The 13,934-nt window shown below is 45.5% G+C and overlaps 1 protein-coding gene across 10 annotated transcripts in view, besides 5 other annotated features; it reads left to right on the top strand.

Moving 5' to 3' along the window:
• Positions 1-13,934, top strand: part of RNF216 (ring finger protein 216) — a 161,617-nt gene that overhangs the window by 75,247 nt on the left and 72,436 nt on the right. The gene's annotated exons all lie outside the window — the stretch shown is intronic.
• Positions 3,268-4,467: an enhancer, noted in NCBI's record as "BRD4-independent group 4 enhancer chr7:5741581-5742780 (GRCh37/hg19 assembly coordinates)". NCBI's record gives its function as "activates an origin of replication core promoter dependent on BRD2, P300/CBP, MED14 and CDK7 cofactors, and independent of BRD4, by STARR-seq in HCT116 cells {active_cell/tissue: HCT116}" and the evidence as "EXISTENCE:reporter gene assay evidence [ECO:0000049][PMID:35650434]".
• Positions 4,931-5,210: an enhancer, noted in NCBI's record as "active region_25610". NCBI's record gives its function as "activates an Ori minimal core promoter by ATAC-STARR-seq in GM12878 lymphoblastoid cells {active_cell/tissue: GM12878}" and the evidence as "EXISTENCE:reporter gene assay evidence [ECO:0000049][PMID:35858748]".
• Positions 9,331-9,831: an enhancer, noted in NCBI's record as "H3K4me1 hESC enhancer chr7:5736217-5736717 (GRCh37/hg19 assembly coordinates)". NCBI's record gives its function as "activates a minimal SCP1, AML or CMV promoter by ChIP-STARR-seq in naive H9 embryonic stem cells {active_cell/tissue: H9 hESC(naive)}" and the evidence as "EXISTENCE:reporter gene assay evidence [ECO:0000049][PMID:30033119]".
• Positions 9,832-10,332: an enhancer, noted in NCBI's record as "H3K4me1 hESC enhancer chr7:5735716-5736216 (GRCh37/hg19 assembly coordinates)". NCBI's record gives its function as "activates a minimal SCP1, AML or CMV promoter by ChIP-STARR-seq in naive H9 embryonic stem cells {active_cell/tissue: H9 hESC(naive)}" and the evidence as "EXISTENCE:reporter gene assay evidence [ECO:0000049][PMID:30033119]".
• Positions 10,962-11,201: an enhancer, noted in NCBI's record as "active region_25609". NCBI's record gives its function as "activates an Ori minimal core promoter by ATAC-STARR-seq in GM12878 lymphoblastoid cells {active_cell/tissue: GM12878}" and the evidence as "EXISTENCE:reporter gene assay evidence [ECO:0000049][PMID:35858748]".

Below are 13,934 nucleotides of genomic sequence, written 5' to 3'. Positions count from 1 at the left end.
ACCCTGGGTGCCAGAGGCTGGGAGAAGGCAAAGTGGGGAGTCACTGTGCAGTGGGAAGTTTCAGTCATGCCAGATTAAGTTGTTTAGAGATCAGCTGTACAACATTTTGCTAACAGACCCTGTACACTTAAAAATGTGTTAATTGGGTAGTTTTTGTATTGTGTGTTTTCACCACAATTTTTTTTTTTTTTTTTTTTGAGATGGAGTGTCGCTGTGTTGCTCAGGCTGGAGTGCAGTGGTGCAATCTCAGCTCACTGCAACCTCCACCTTCCGGGTGCAAGCGATTCTCCTGCCTCAGCCTCCTGAATAGCTGGGACTACAGGCACATGCCACCATGCCCGGCTAATTTTTTGCATTTTTAGTAGAGACGGGGTTTCACCATGTTAGCCAGGATGATCTTGATCTCCTGACCTCGTAATCCTCCACCTGCTTCGGCCTCCCAGAGTGGTGTTTTGTTTTGTTTTGTTTTGTTTTGTTTTGTTTTGTTTTGTTTTGTTTTAGTTTTTGTTGAGATGGAGTTTCGCTCTTCTTGCCCAGGCTGGAGTGCAATGGTATGATCTTGGCTCACCATAACCTCCGCCTCCCAGGTTCAAGCAATTCTCCTGCCCCAGCCTCCCGAGTAGCTGTGATTACCTGCATGTGCCACCACGCCCGGCTAATGTTGTATTTTTGTAGAGGCGGGGTTTCTCCATGTTGGTCCGTCTGGTCTCGAACTCCTGACCTCAGGTGATCTGCCTGCCTTGGCCTCCCAAAGTGCTGGGATTACAGGGTGAGCCACCGTGCCCAGCCTACCGCAGTTTTTTTTAAAGGGCATATGGTTCATTTTTTCCCTCTGCCAAGAGGGATGTGCAGCATGAGTGAGAACAAAGTCTGTTTTGAACTACTGAGGTTTGAGTTTGTTCCAGCAGCATAACCTAGCACATCCTGACTGATAAGGATCATAAGGACCATAACTGCCCTTGGAGTTGGAGAACAGGAGCAGATTTGAGAGGTAGAGGATTAGAAGGTGATATGTTGCATGTGAAGGTGGGGAGAAAGCCAGAGGTCTCACAGGCGTGTCTGGTTTGGACCACTATGTAGTTGATGATGCTGTTTACAAAACTGGAAATGGAATCCAAAAGATTCAGGAGAGATTACTTTTGTTTTGGACATGTTGAGTTTTTAGGGGAGACATCCAGTGTGTACGTGTTTTTACAATGCCTGGCACATAGTAGGTGCTCCATAAATCAGTGACCCTAGATCAGTGATCCGGGTCAGTAACACAGGGAGAGATCTAGGCTGGAAAAAGATTTTGGAGTCTGAAATGAGCAGCAAAAGGAGGAAAGAGGAGGAGAGGGGTAAGGTGCCCATCAGGGAGATTATTATTAGCTTAGAAATGCTGGGCCATGCTAAGTTTAAAGTATGTTTTTTCATTTATTCACATCTTTTTATGCCCCTCAGCAACGTTTTGCAGTGGAGAGAATGTGTGTTATGATTACATGATGGATTACAGTATGTTTCAGAACTTGACTTTCACCTATGGATAACAGCATTCACATTTTAGTTTCTAATGTTAGGGTAAGGATTGTAGGTGTTTGGCCCATCATGGAAAATAAAGTGAAAAATGTTATATGGGGACCTGAGGCAGTGACGGCCTGGTGGAGCTGGCTCAGTGACCACCAGAGGAATGAGAGAAGTCCCCACCTTGTCCTTTGGATGAGAAAGGAGAGTTTATGCCTAATCTTCTGTCCTTATTTGTGGGCTGTGGAACGAGTTGCCACTAGGTGGCACAGATGCTCCATGAGGAAAGGGTTTTCTTCCTCTTGGGTGTTTGAAAAGTATGTGTCAGCAAAACACTGTTTTGTAAGCAGAATTGACACAGTTCTTTTGGGCTCAGTACCAAAGCAAATCGCTACGTGCATTTAGACTTTATCTAAGAAGTCCATGTTATTAGCGCATACGCTTTTACCTTTCTCAGTTGTGCAAATTCTCCTTATGCCATTCTTTGTAGCAAGATGGCTAAAGCAGTCGCTAATCCTTGAGGATTCCTGATATTTAAGACATGAGCCACAAGCTAATTTTGACCCGTGTGAGACTAAGGGCACCTGCTTTCTCATTGCAGTGTCTTTGCCAGTAATATAAATTCCAGTTGGCTTTTCAGGAACTTGTCGCTCTGAAATGAGGCGTTTATATTAATACGGCATTAATATAAACGTATTAATATAAGACGGCCTCTGGAGGAGGACTTGAATGGCTGGAATCAGTCCTCTGGAATCCCTGAAGAATAAGACACTGTATCTTTGATGAAATGGAGAGAGTCTTTGTTTCATTGATATGATGGAATGCTTTTGTCAAGGCTCTCAGCTCCCTTGTGTGTTCTCAGATAAAGAATTCATTAGTTTGTTTTCAGTGTGCTGCTTTTAGGAATGAATTGGGTGTGTTTGGTGTGAGACTGAAGAGTGTTACATAAAAGGAGATTTGAAGGTGATGCTTCTGGAATATGTATTCTTAGGGTCAGAAGTTTCACTGTTGAGTCTTTTCTGCCTTGCCACAGCCATAACTTTGCTTTATAAACTCAGAGCTGTGTAAGTCAAGTTTTCCAGAAACTTAGGGCCACAAGGTGGAGGTTTAGGCACACTCATGAAGCAAGCGCTAACGACGAGAGACCATCAGGTGGTGAGAGTTTAATCAGAGTAACTGAAGAACATCTGGTGTAGTCTTTTCGTGGAAACTGCAAATGTGTGTGTGGTTGTGTAACCACCCATCTTTTCCCAATGTCACTTGTATTTATTTATCTTTTCTCACCTGCCAGCTTTCTTCCCTGCTTGTTTTTCTGCCCTTTCTAGGTTCCCATCCTATTCTTTGTAGCATTTGCTGTTTTTAACTTTACAGCCGTGAAGTACAACCAAAATTCACATCTGCAGTGAACCAGTTTGTTGGTTAAAAAACAGGCATCTGCAGCCTCCTACAGTAGCTGCATGGCTGCGTGAAGAGAATGTAAATGAGTGTGGACCAGCTATCAATGCCAGGGCAGCTCCAGCTGTGATGGCGGGTGGTTGGCACTTATTAACAGCACTCTAATTTGGGGCCCAGCCAGTCAGCTGACTCCTGTGCTGAGCACGGCCTTCACATTTATCTAGAGATGAATGAAGCTTGGGCCACTTGTTCCTACTATCAGGGAAGACCTTTATTCAGGAAGTAGCGTTGACAAGAACCAAATAGCTGGGTAACAAAAAGATTTTTAAGCCCACAAATGAGGACTCATTTACTGGAGTGGAAGTCCATGCTGCATGATGTGAGTCAAATATGAAGGAGGGTGGTGTGAGAATTTCTCATCATGGAATGTGACCTGCCCTTGCTCCTCCAAGGTGAGTCACTTTCTTCAGAGCCCAGCATGGGTCCCTCTGAAGAGCTTCAGGTTCAGGCCGCAGAAGGACGCTCCCTTACAGGTATATCATGTAGGGTGCCTGGCAGAGCTCTCAGCTCATATTGGTCCCCACAGCAGCCCTACAAAATAGACACTGGCTTAAAGTCAGGTGATGGTAAATGGCAGAGCTGAGTGGGTCGCAGACACCATCCCTGTGAGCCTCCCTTCCGTCACGTACTGAGCAGGGCTGGCGTCATAGCAAGGAGGCTTCAGGATTTTTAACTCTACTTGTGTCTGAGTACTTCTGTCAGTTTTCACTTTTTAAAATTTCACTTTTTAAAATTTAAAAGCATAGTGAATCTATTCATCACAGACTTCTTGATCCTGGGAAGGTTTTGGTTAATTACACACGCAAGCACATCCTCTTCCCTTACCTGCTATTGAAGCACAGTAAATACAGCATAGAGTAGATGTGTTTGTTAGATTCTTTTAAAGAAGAAGAAAAATAATAAAAGGCAAATGTTGCTTGCCTCCCTTCCCACCCTGCCTTCCCATTAAGAGTCAAATACCATGCTTGCTGTTTCAGTGATTATTCAGAAGGGAGAGAGCTGACAACCCGAAATAGGGAAAGGTAAAAATACATACGCATTATAACAAAACGCCAATATGAATAAAAATTTTATTTTTGTTTCTGCTTGGCCCTGTGGAAATAGTTTTTTACCCCTGTATTTCAGCTACTTTATCCCTCATGTCAGATGCTAATGGTAGAAGCACCTGCCTCTCCCCTTGGCCCGCCTTGGAGGAGGCTGGGAGCTGTGAGTGAACATGGACTATGCTGCCACTCCCACTCCCTCTGCAGGGCTGCTGCAGCCCCTCAGGTTTCTCCCCTCGAAACTCGCAGAGGCAACTGCTGACCCCCCGGCAGGTGGCAGAGCCCACACCCACCTGCATTTCAGAGCCAAGGAAGTCTAGAGTCAGCGTGGGCTCCGAGAACCCGGCAGCGACCTGGGGCCTCAGATGTCGCCGACCTCCCTGATCCCTAGGAAATGGGCCTGGCTCTTCCTTGTCCCAGACAACATCCTGGTGCTCCCTTCTGGTCCTGAGCTGCCTTCCTGGGTTAGTGTTTCCACCTTCTCAGGAGACCAGTCACGAACCTCCTGTTCCATTCACATGAAGAGGCATTGTTTGGGACACGTCTTTTGCTGGGCTTTCATAGTAAGTTGTCTGTTTCAACAGTTCTTTTGAAGCCCTTACGTGAGAAGTGTTGATTGATGTGCAGCTCTGCACAGCACTGGGTGCTGTGAGGCCATGAATGGCAGTGAAATGCGTGGCTGTTGCTGCATCACAGTGAGGGAAACGGTATAGCTCAGTGGTTAAGACAAGGGATTTTGATATTAAACCCACTTATGCTTTAATTCTAGCTCCTCCACTCACTAGCTTTGTGACATAGGGTGAATACTTGATCTCCCTAAGCCACATTTCCTTTCCGTGTACAATAAGAACGGTTGCACCTACCTCGTAGAGCTTTTGTGCAAAACCAATGGAAACAGCGTGGGTAAAGTGTCAAGTGCAGTGCCTGGCACTTTGTGTCACGAAGTAATAGCTGCCCAGTGAGGATGGTGTGTGCAGATGTGCGGCCTCAGGAGATGAACGGAGATCCTAGAAAGGGGGAACTGCCTCCAGTTTTGTGAACCTGCTGCCACAAGAGCATGGAGTTCCCCTAAAGTGGGCAGGTGGAAAATCCCATCAGGGAACAGAAGATGACTCATCACTCACCACTCAACTCATTTCTACCAGCTCCCCAGTGTTCTGCCATGTAAAGGGGTAGATTTTTCAACCTGATTTTTTTGCTAACTGATACATTCTATAAGAAATGACAGCTCTCCTTTAGTCCACGTTATTCAAGTTCAGAGAAGGGCCCTGTGCAACCTGGGGAGAGCCACGTGCTGGGGGAGGCTGTCGTGTGTGTGCTCCCACTCTCAGGGTCTGCACTCTCTGTCCACAGCACTGCTGTGCTCCTTCTCTCAGGTTTCATGTTGATTTCTTACTCCTACTCAGAAGGTTTAGAATCTCAGGGATGACATTCAGAAGAAATGAGTACAGGAGGGGCCTAGAAACAAAGACGGCGATACGCTATACTAGAGAACTCCAAATTAGTTGCAGTGGAGAGATGGAAATCCAGGGTTTGTCTTCTTGGTGCATTGGGCATGAGTTTTTGTCCTACTGGGAGGGCACTGGTCATCCTGCCCACCCATGGCAGCGGGCAGGCTTGGATGCCAGGGCTGCTCACCTTGGACTGTCCTTGTGGAAGGACACACCTACTTGTCTCTTTGTTGTTGTTATTTTTGGTCTCTACTAAAACACACTGTCTGTAGTACTCACAGAAAAAGATTCTCTGTGGATTTTTAACGAGTTTCTATGGGTACTTAATTAAAATTTAGTGGCTCTTTTTGTGGTTTTGTGTACTAGTTAGCTATTGCTTCTCAGGCTTGTCACAGCCTGTGGGGATCAGAAGCTTGGAGTGGCCCTCTTTCTAGAAACCACACACCACCTATTAAGTTCCTTTGTATATTTTACTAAAATAATTTAATGACATTTTTCTGTGTCTGTGGCCTCATCAAGGGAGAGATGCATGTTAGAAATTTCACAATAAAAATCCCTCAAGAATTGATACCTACAAAATACCTTTTTATAAGAAATGTTTTACCTCCTTTTTGTCATTGCACTGATTTTGTGTTGTTAGGTGTCAGCATCCTGATTTGTTGTCATGATCTCATTGTGATGTCCTTGAGAAGGGGCTGTGTGTGAGTGCACGTGTGCGGCTTGTGGTGTGTGCTGAGGTGGAAAGTGATAGTGTTCCCTCTTTGCATTCTCAGCACAGAGCACTGCAGGGTTTCCAGCCTTCCAGGTAGAAGAGAAATTGTTGCTATGGTAATACCGCAAGCATGAAAACACCCCCTGTCCCCGTGGGTGTCTGTGTCAGGGCGGGGAATGTGGAGAAGGGGAACAGTAGCAAAGAGGAGTGTTTAGGGCATCGAGCAAGATGAGAGCAAAGCCTAAGCTGAAGCTGCTGTTGGGTGGAATTTCTTGTGTTTATCCTTGAATTCAAGGTCAGATTCCAGTTGCAATGTGGTAGCTGAGAACGTAAAAGGCCTTTTATTCCTCAGTGTCTTCCCTGACTTTGAGACAAAGATAAAGAATACAGAGGGTCTCTGTCACATCTCCAGTTCCCAGAGGCCACATGGCCTTCCCACAGACCACAGTTAGAAAATGTGCGTCTGTATCTGTGGCCAGTACATCACTGCAAGTGGAATCAACCACCCAGCCCCAGAAAGCCTGCTGCCCTTCATGTCCAGTGTAACAGGCTAAGGCAGCAGTCCCTGCCATCTCTTCTGAAACTAAATAACAGTTCGTGCTCTGTTTCTGTACAATTCCCCTGGGAAGATGGACTGTGAATATCCTTGGTAATGCAGAGCCGTGATGAGAAACGAAATCCAATCTGCTGAGGTAGTGGGTGAAGAACACAACAAAAAGCTAGTGTTCAATTCTGTCAGATCATCAGGGCCAGTATGGGAAGAATAGCTTGAGCAGGGAGTTTGGCATCATAGTTAAAACAGGCTGAGGTCTAGGTATTTGCTAATAAAACTCTTCCTGGGTTTTAGGGGCTTTTTACTCCTTATCTGCTCAAAGTCACACAGCTAGTAAGTGACAGCATCAGGAGTCAAATCCAGGGTTTCTCATTGTTATTTGTGTTTTTAGGTGTAATTTTGATATGCTGCATTAGTTTCAAGAGTCTTTATCTTTTGCAGATACAAACTGAAATATTTATAAATGAAAAGATTTGTAATCTGGGATTTGCTTCAAAATTATACTGAAGGAGGAGGGATGAGTGAACAGGTAGGGTATAGATAAGCTCAGATTGGTTATGAGTCGATCATTATTAAACACGATAATGGGTGCATAGGGTTCATTACATCCTCTGCTTTTGTATATGTTTAAAATTTTCTACAATAAAAAGTTAGTTTTAAAAAAAACAAGTCAAAAACTCTAGCTGTCTTCAGTGTTAGCTTTATCTGTGCTCTCATTGTTTTGGTTTGCTTTGCTGCTTTCCAGTTCACTCTTGGGGACTGGAAAGACCCTTATTCGAATGTCCTGTTTTGTGGCTTGTTCAGTTTTTTAAGAGATGAGAAAATGTGCAACATAACAGGAAAATGTTAACAGCTTTTTGTGAGAAGGTTAAAGAGCTCTTCATCCTAGAGGAGGGAAGGTTTCCTGTGTAGTTTCTCTGCACAAGATTCTTCTATATAAGTGGTAGGGACCTGGTGTTTTCCAGCTTCTCTGGGAAAACAGACTTAAACTACCTATGAAGAATCCAAGAGGCCGGAGCGGTGGCTCATGCCTATAATTCCAGCACTTTGGGAGAATGAGGCAGGAGGATTGCTTGAGGTTATGAGTTCAAGACCAGCCTGGGCAACAAAGCACAACCTCGTCTCTACACAAAATAGAAAAAAATTTAATAAGGCATGGGTGCTGTGCATCTGTAGTCCCAGCTACTCGGGAGGCTGAGGCGGGAAGATCACCTGAGCCCAGAAGATCGAGGCCGCTGTGAACCATGATCATGCCACTGTACTCCAGCATGCATGCGTGTGTGTGTATGTGTGTGTGTGTGTGTGTGTGTGTGTGTGTATAAAAGAATCTAAGACAGCTCACTGGACTTCATTGTAACCGATGAATTGGGTTCCCAGGAAGCCTGGGGTTCTGTGTTGAGAGCATTGTATAGCCTGTAACAGACCCTCCTTGCTCCAGTACAACTGCTTACATGCAGTCCAGCTGCAACCAGAAGAAAGCCCACATGACCTTTTGAGTGTCCCTCTAGCCCAAACACTGATTTCTAGAAAACCGAGGATTTTAAAACTAGGATTGGCATTTGCTTTTCAAAAATAAACAGGCTAAGAGAGTTTCTCAGATGAAATCCCCATAGCCTCATAAAAGTACTTTTTTTTCAGTTTTATTTCCCGTCAGAAGCTTGTATGAAAAGCATTTGAAGTTTCAAAAGCTGCCTATGTCTGAGAAGCTGATCCAGATTCTAGCCCAAAGAGGGTGAAATAGATCACAATTTCTTCCGCTCTTATCTTTGACTACAGCTTGTCCTTTTGCCCTTCTCTCCCCTGCTCTGTTAGACTTCGCTGCTAAAAACATCTCGTGTTCCCACAGCCCTCTTAGCTTCAAGGCCTTCTTGCCTCCCATAAAAACCTACTTTTCACCCTCAAGGCCAGCACCTACTACTCTGACCTAACCTGTTGTGCTCCTAGCTTCTGTCTTCTCCAGGCGAGCACCCTTGCATCCTAAGCACCTCAAATTGCTTGTAAAGATTCTTCCCTTCCCCACCTTCTGTCTCTGGACTCCATCAAAACCTTTCCCCAGGCTGGGAGTGGTGGTGCGCACTTGTAGTCCCAGCTGCACAGGAGGCTGAGGCCAGCCTGGACAACATAGCAAGACCTCATCTCTTTAAACAAACAAAAGAATAAAAAAGCCTTAGCCCAGCCATGGTACAGAAGAGGCCAATGAGGGTTTGGCCCCTCACCTTGCCTGACACTTCATCTTCTCCTCTAAACACGATCATTACCAGCTGCCTGTCATCTGCCTATATGGAGACATGTGGGCTGATTTCTGCTTTGGTTGAAGTCTGGTCGTTCGTTCAGCAGATATGTATTGAGCATTTCTGTGCCAAAGGGAGTAAGAAAGAGAAAGGGCAACCACGGCCCTAACTGACCATCAGTGGGATGAGAGAGTGATGGTGACTGCTGTGAGGAACATGCGGCTCTGCATGAGCGACATGGGTCTGGGCCTGACCAGGCCGTGGTGGGGTCTTATTGGCGGAGATGGGGAGAACTTTACTCCAGGCCCAGAGAATGACACGAGCAAAGCTGGGTGAAGGGTCAGCAAGTAGACAGGTGTGTCCAGAGCAGAAGGAAGCAGGACTTTGAAGATAAATAGACCCTGTTGAGGGCTTTGCAATGCAGAACAAAACAAGGAGGGTGGATTTTATTTTGGAGACTTCCCCTACCCCCGTCCCTGGAGCTGTTGCTGGCGTAATGGAGGGACACAGTGGGATCACATGCTGCTTGTGGGAGGGTGAATTTTGTAGATCCTTGAAAGGGAGTGGGAGGGAGGGAGAGATCAGATATAGAATATCAAGGGAATTGGAACACCTTGCCAATGTAGTCACTATGGCAAGTCATTTCTAGTAACCTGGGGACATGCCGTCCTCCTACAGCCCTCCCAGAGCCCGTTCGTACAATGTTGCAGGTATTTGCTGTGATTACTTTTCCCATTTTCCAGAAGACCTAGGTGGGATTTGGCCTGAAGGAACCTGGTTCTAAGGGCAGGTTGGGGGCAAGAGGGGAGACGTGGGGCAGTAGTCAAAAGCGAGGATGGCAGCAGCCAAGGAAGAGGCTTTGGTGAAGAGCGGCCGAAGCGAGACCATAGGACACGATCTTGGGCACGCGTGTCTAGGAGGCTGCCCCGGCCTGCTCCTCCTTCCTGTGGTGTGTGTGGGTGCCCTGGAGTAGATCATTGGGCAGTTGCTGCTTTGCTGCATTCCCACCGGCCAGTGAATTTGTTTTAGTCCTCAGGTGCTTTACATAAGGAGGAAACCATGTAACCTTCACAAGTTTTTTCCCAGTCATTTAAAAAGGCTTGTTTTCCAGCCGAAGGCATGTCGAATAAGCTTAATTTCTCTCACTCAGATCAGCTTAATTTCTCTGTGATGTGCATACAGAGAATTGCTTAATTCTCCTTTTGCAACATGTTTTCCCAGCTGCTGAGAGCCCTGCTTTTTTTCCATGGGCCTCCTGACAGAAATACAAACAATTTAAAGCCATGCGGTACCAACTGCTCTTCGTCACCACATGGACTGTGGATGTCAGTGTGTTTCCCCTTGGGCTGGATTTGTCTGGAGCTGGTGGCTGCTTTCTTGTCCTTCCGTGCCTCCTGGGAGTCAGGGATCAAGGCCGTGCTGGGTTGTGCTGAGAGCCACAGCCCCTCCTTCAAGTGGGGTACCCTCCCTTCCCAGCCTAGTCCTACATCCTTGTTGTGTGAGGAAATGAAGTCTGTTCCTTGGATGCGTTCTGACGGGAAACATGTTTTCTGTGGCACCTCTGCTTAGTCTTTCAGTGCAACACAAACAGCCTTTTGATACCTTGTTTTGTAAAAAGTACATTTCCACAATGGGGCTTGACACTGTTCATAAATAAACACATCCGTTTACAGGCAAAGCAAGGGAAGAACACATAAGGGAACAGTTTGACCAGGGGTTTTGCTTTTCCCTCTGTGAATGCCTGGTGTGCACCATCCATCCGAGGATGACTAGGGGAGAACACTATTCTGTGGCTGCCAAAACCACAACAAATGACAACTTTCCATTCTGTCATCTCTCTCGGCACCACTGCTAGCAAGCAATTCATTTTTCTACCATAAAAGGGCAATAGAACTTGTCTATAGCTGCGGTGTCTTCTGCTCTGCAGAGAGAGAGCAGGAGACCGGCAGGGAGAGGCACTCTCAGCAGTAGGCGCAACCGTGCTCACCCCGTGCCTAACAGCCTTGCTTAGTCCGGGCTCCGAGGCAGCAGCAGCCATAAGAAAAAACAGGAGAGGAAGGCGATGTGGCGCTTCTGCCGGGCCCTCAGACTGGGGAGTGTGAGGTCAGGACAGGCTGGCGTGTCGTTTTCGTCTCTGTGGCTGCTGGACGTGTGAATGTGTGGTTCAAACCTTGGTACAAGTTGCTGCACTGGGTCTGCGCAGGTGGTTTTGTATATTGGTATTTGGTACTCTTGACTTGCAGTTGTAGATGTTAGATTTATAAGCCGGACCCAGGAGGTCATATAACCCAGACATGCTTGTTGTACAGATGAAGAACCGTGGATAGGTTAAGTGCTAACTTCGTGTAGCTTGAAGTCATTGAACTTCTTGGCTATATATGAACTTTGGGTTCAGGGGTAGTTCCCTAACCCATCTGTGTCCCCATTGGCCCATTAGTGTATTTTTTGGCTCAGTTAAAGTTGAGCCACAGAAGCCTTAACTAATAGAAATACAGTTCTTAGTTGGTGGATTTGTATGTCAGTTAACCAGGGTCTTTGGAAAGTATATTGTCTTTTCTATAAAATGCTTGGGTCCTTTAGATGATTATAAATAAATGTTCAAAATCAAAACAGGAGTAGTTAGTAGACAAATGCTTAGCTATTTTGACAACACCTAGAACACTTTGAGAGAGTGGCTGTAAAATTTCTGCCCAGTGCACCCTGGCAGACCAGGAGACCAGCCCAACACAAGCTACGCAGCTACAGAGAATGTACTTTCCATAGGCTGAAGGGCATGGCCACCATACACATCTCTGCTCCAGGGCAGGCAGGTCCTCAAATTGCGCCACAAGTGGGCCTCATCCTTTGGCTTGGAGCCCTTGAAGGTTTTCCTATAAACAAGAACTGAGATTTGTTTTGTCGTTTAAACTTACCTTAATTCTGACTGTCTGATCTCATAGCAGATGTTGGAACTGAACTAAGCACATTGCCAAGGGAATAAAAATTGTGTCCAAGAATCTTGCTGATCTGGAAGTTTTGGAGGAAAGCAGGGATTTCAAGGTCAAATGTTATTACCCAGATAGTGCTCGTGGTCAGAATAGATTCTGAGCTCATTGGATCTGAATCAAAAGTTAACTCAGAAGTCATTCCTTAAAGAGAATATCATTGAGTAGCAGTGGCGGAAGCAAGCTCAGTGTGAATGATTCAAGTACTGCATACCTAGACCTTGTTTTGAAGCTGAAAGACTTGTTTGAAAACTGTTCCAGCAAATAAAGAAATTGAGTAGGCCGTCCTAAAATGGAAAGTTTACAAAATGCCCTTTTTAGTAAGACCTTTCTGGATTCTTCTTTTCTCAATAGTGTAAAACTGACTATCTTGATCTATCAAAGAGCTAAGTGGTATAATTTCCTTGGCACTTTCCAAGACCTTTACTGCCTTTGGAATAAACCCATGATGCCTGGGAGCATTCGTCTCACTGTGCTTCTCTCATGTTCTTTGCTTGTGGAAATGTTGGAAGCCTTTGTTTTTTTGGTCAACAACAGCAAGTGAATTCCATCTTATAGAACAGTTATTAATTTTCGTTGTGTCATTTTTAAGGCTGATTTCTTAAGCAAATAGCATCTCCTTGTTGGCCAGAGAGTCTCTACCCGCGTCCATCTCTGTCTTTGCATGCCTGGGCTGCCTGGCCATGGGTGACCAGCTTTAGAGACATCAGCCTTCTTGCTTCCTAATTTGGTCACAGTATGCTTCAGGCAGTCTTGCCTAACTTTAGAACAACACAAGCACAGGGAGCAGCTTTGATATAGCAAAGGGGAATTTCCTCTTATCAAAAGACCTACAGTTCCCTTCTTACTTCCTCTAAAAAGAGGAATTGACACTTGGGGAGGTTGTAGCTTGCTCTGAAGTTCCCTCTTTAAGCTTGGCTTCTTCATGCCGGCTTCTTCCTAGCTAGTTCCTGCTCTTTCCTTCCTCAAATGTCTTGGAGCTTCTTAGCATTAAAGGAGTTTAATTTTATTCTTAAGGAAATCCAATGCAATACCCATCAGCAGGGAACAATTTCAGTACATTTTGGTACCTCAGTACAGTGGAGGTCCATACCGGGGGGTCAGCATCCATACTGAGGTTCAGCAGACTTTTTCTGTAAACATCCATACCAGGGGTCAGCAGACTTTTTCTGTAAAAGGCAAGGTAGTAAATATTTCAGGCTTTGCGGACCATATGGTATCTATCCCAGCTACCTAACTCTGCCTTTATAGCGTGAAAGTAACCACAGACAATATGTAAACAAATGAATGTGGCTGTGTCCCAGTATAATTATATTTACAAAAATTGGCAGAGGGCCAGATTGGCCAGTGAGCTGTAGTTTGCCAACCCGTAGCATATACCATAGCGTTTAAAAGAATGACGTGGAATCCCGTTGTGCAAATATGGAGCTGTCTCCAAGATATTAAGTGAAAAAAGCAAGACGTAGAACAATGGGTGCAATATGCCCACAATTGTGTCTTAAATGGGAGGAGGAAGAGATGCTTGCTGACACAGACATAAAATCTATTTGGAAGGATAGATAAGAAATGGGTAGCAGTGAATCGCTTTTGAGGATGCTCACCAAGGGTTAAGGGAGGAGTGTGCATGTGTCACATTGTATACCCATTGTCATTAACTTAGTCATGTCTGAACATGAGCAAAAGAATTTTTGTTTTGTTTGTATTAAGAGAACTTGAAAAATAGAAATGTGATTATTAAAATATGCTTGTGTATTTTCAAACTCCAAGCTATTTCTTCTGGTGTGTTGGAAGGCTTATTTTACCACCTAAAAAGGAGTGCCTTGCCTCGGGCTGGAGGCGAGGGATGGCGTTTTGTGGTGTGTGGAAGGAGCTGGAACTGAGCAGCTCTGCCTTTCTCCTCGCTCGCCTTCTGCACGGGCTCTGCTTGCAGCACAAGCTCTGGCACTGTCGGACAGGATACAGCCAGTGAGAAACCTTGGACCAGAAGTCAGGGCCCCGCGGGAAT

This window comes from Homo sapiens, chromosome 7 (genome assembly GCF_000001405.40).
Source record: "Homo sapiens chromosome 7, GRCh38.p14 Primary Assembly".
Classification (NCBI taxonomy): domain Eukaryota; kingdom Metazoa; phylum Chordata; class Mammalia; order Primates; family Hominidae; genus Homo; species Homo sapiens.
The sequence above is the reverse complement of the archived record's forward strand: the minus strand, read 5'-3'. Positions and strand labels throughout refer to the sequence as shown.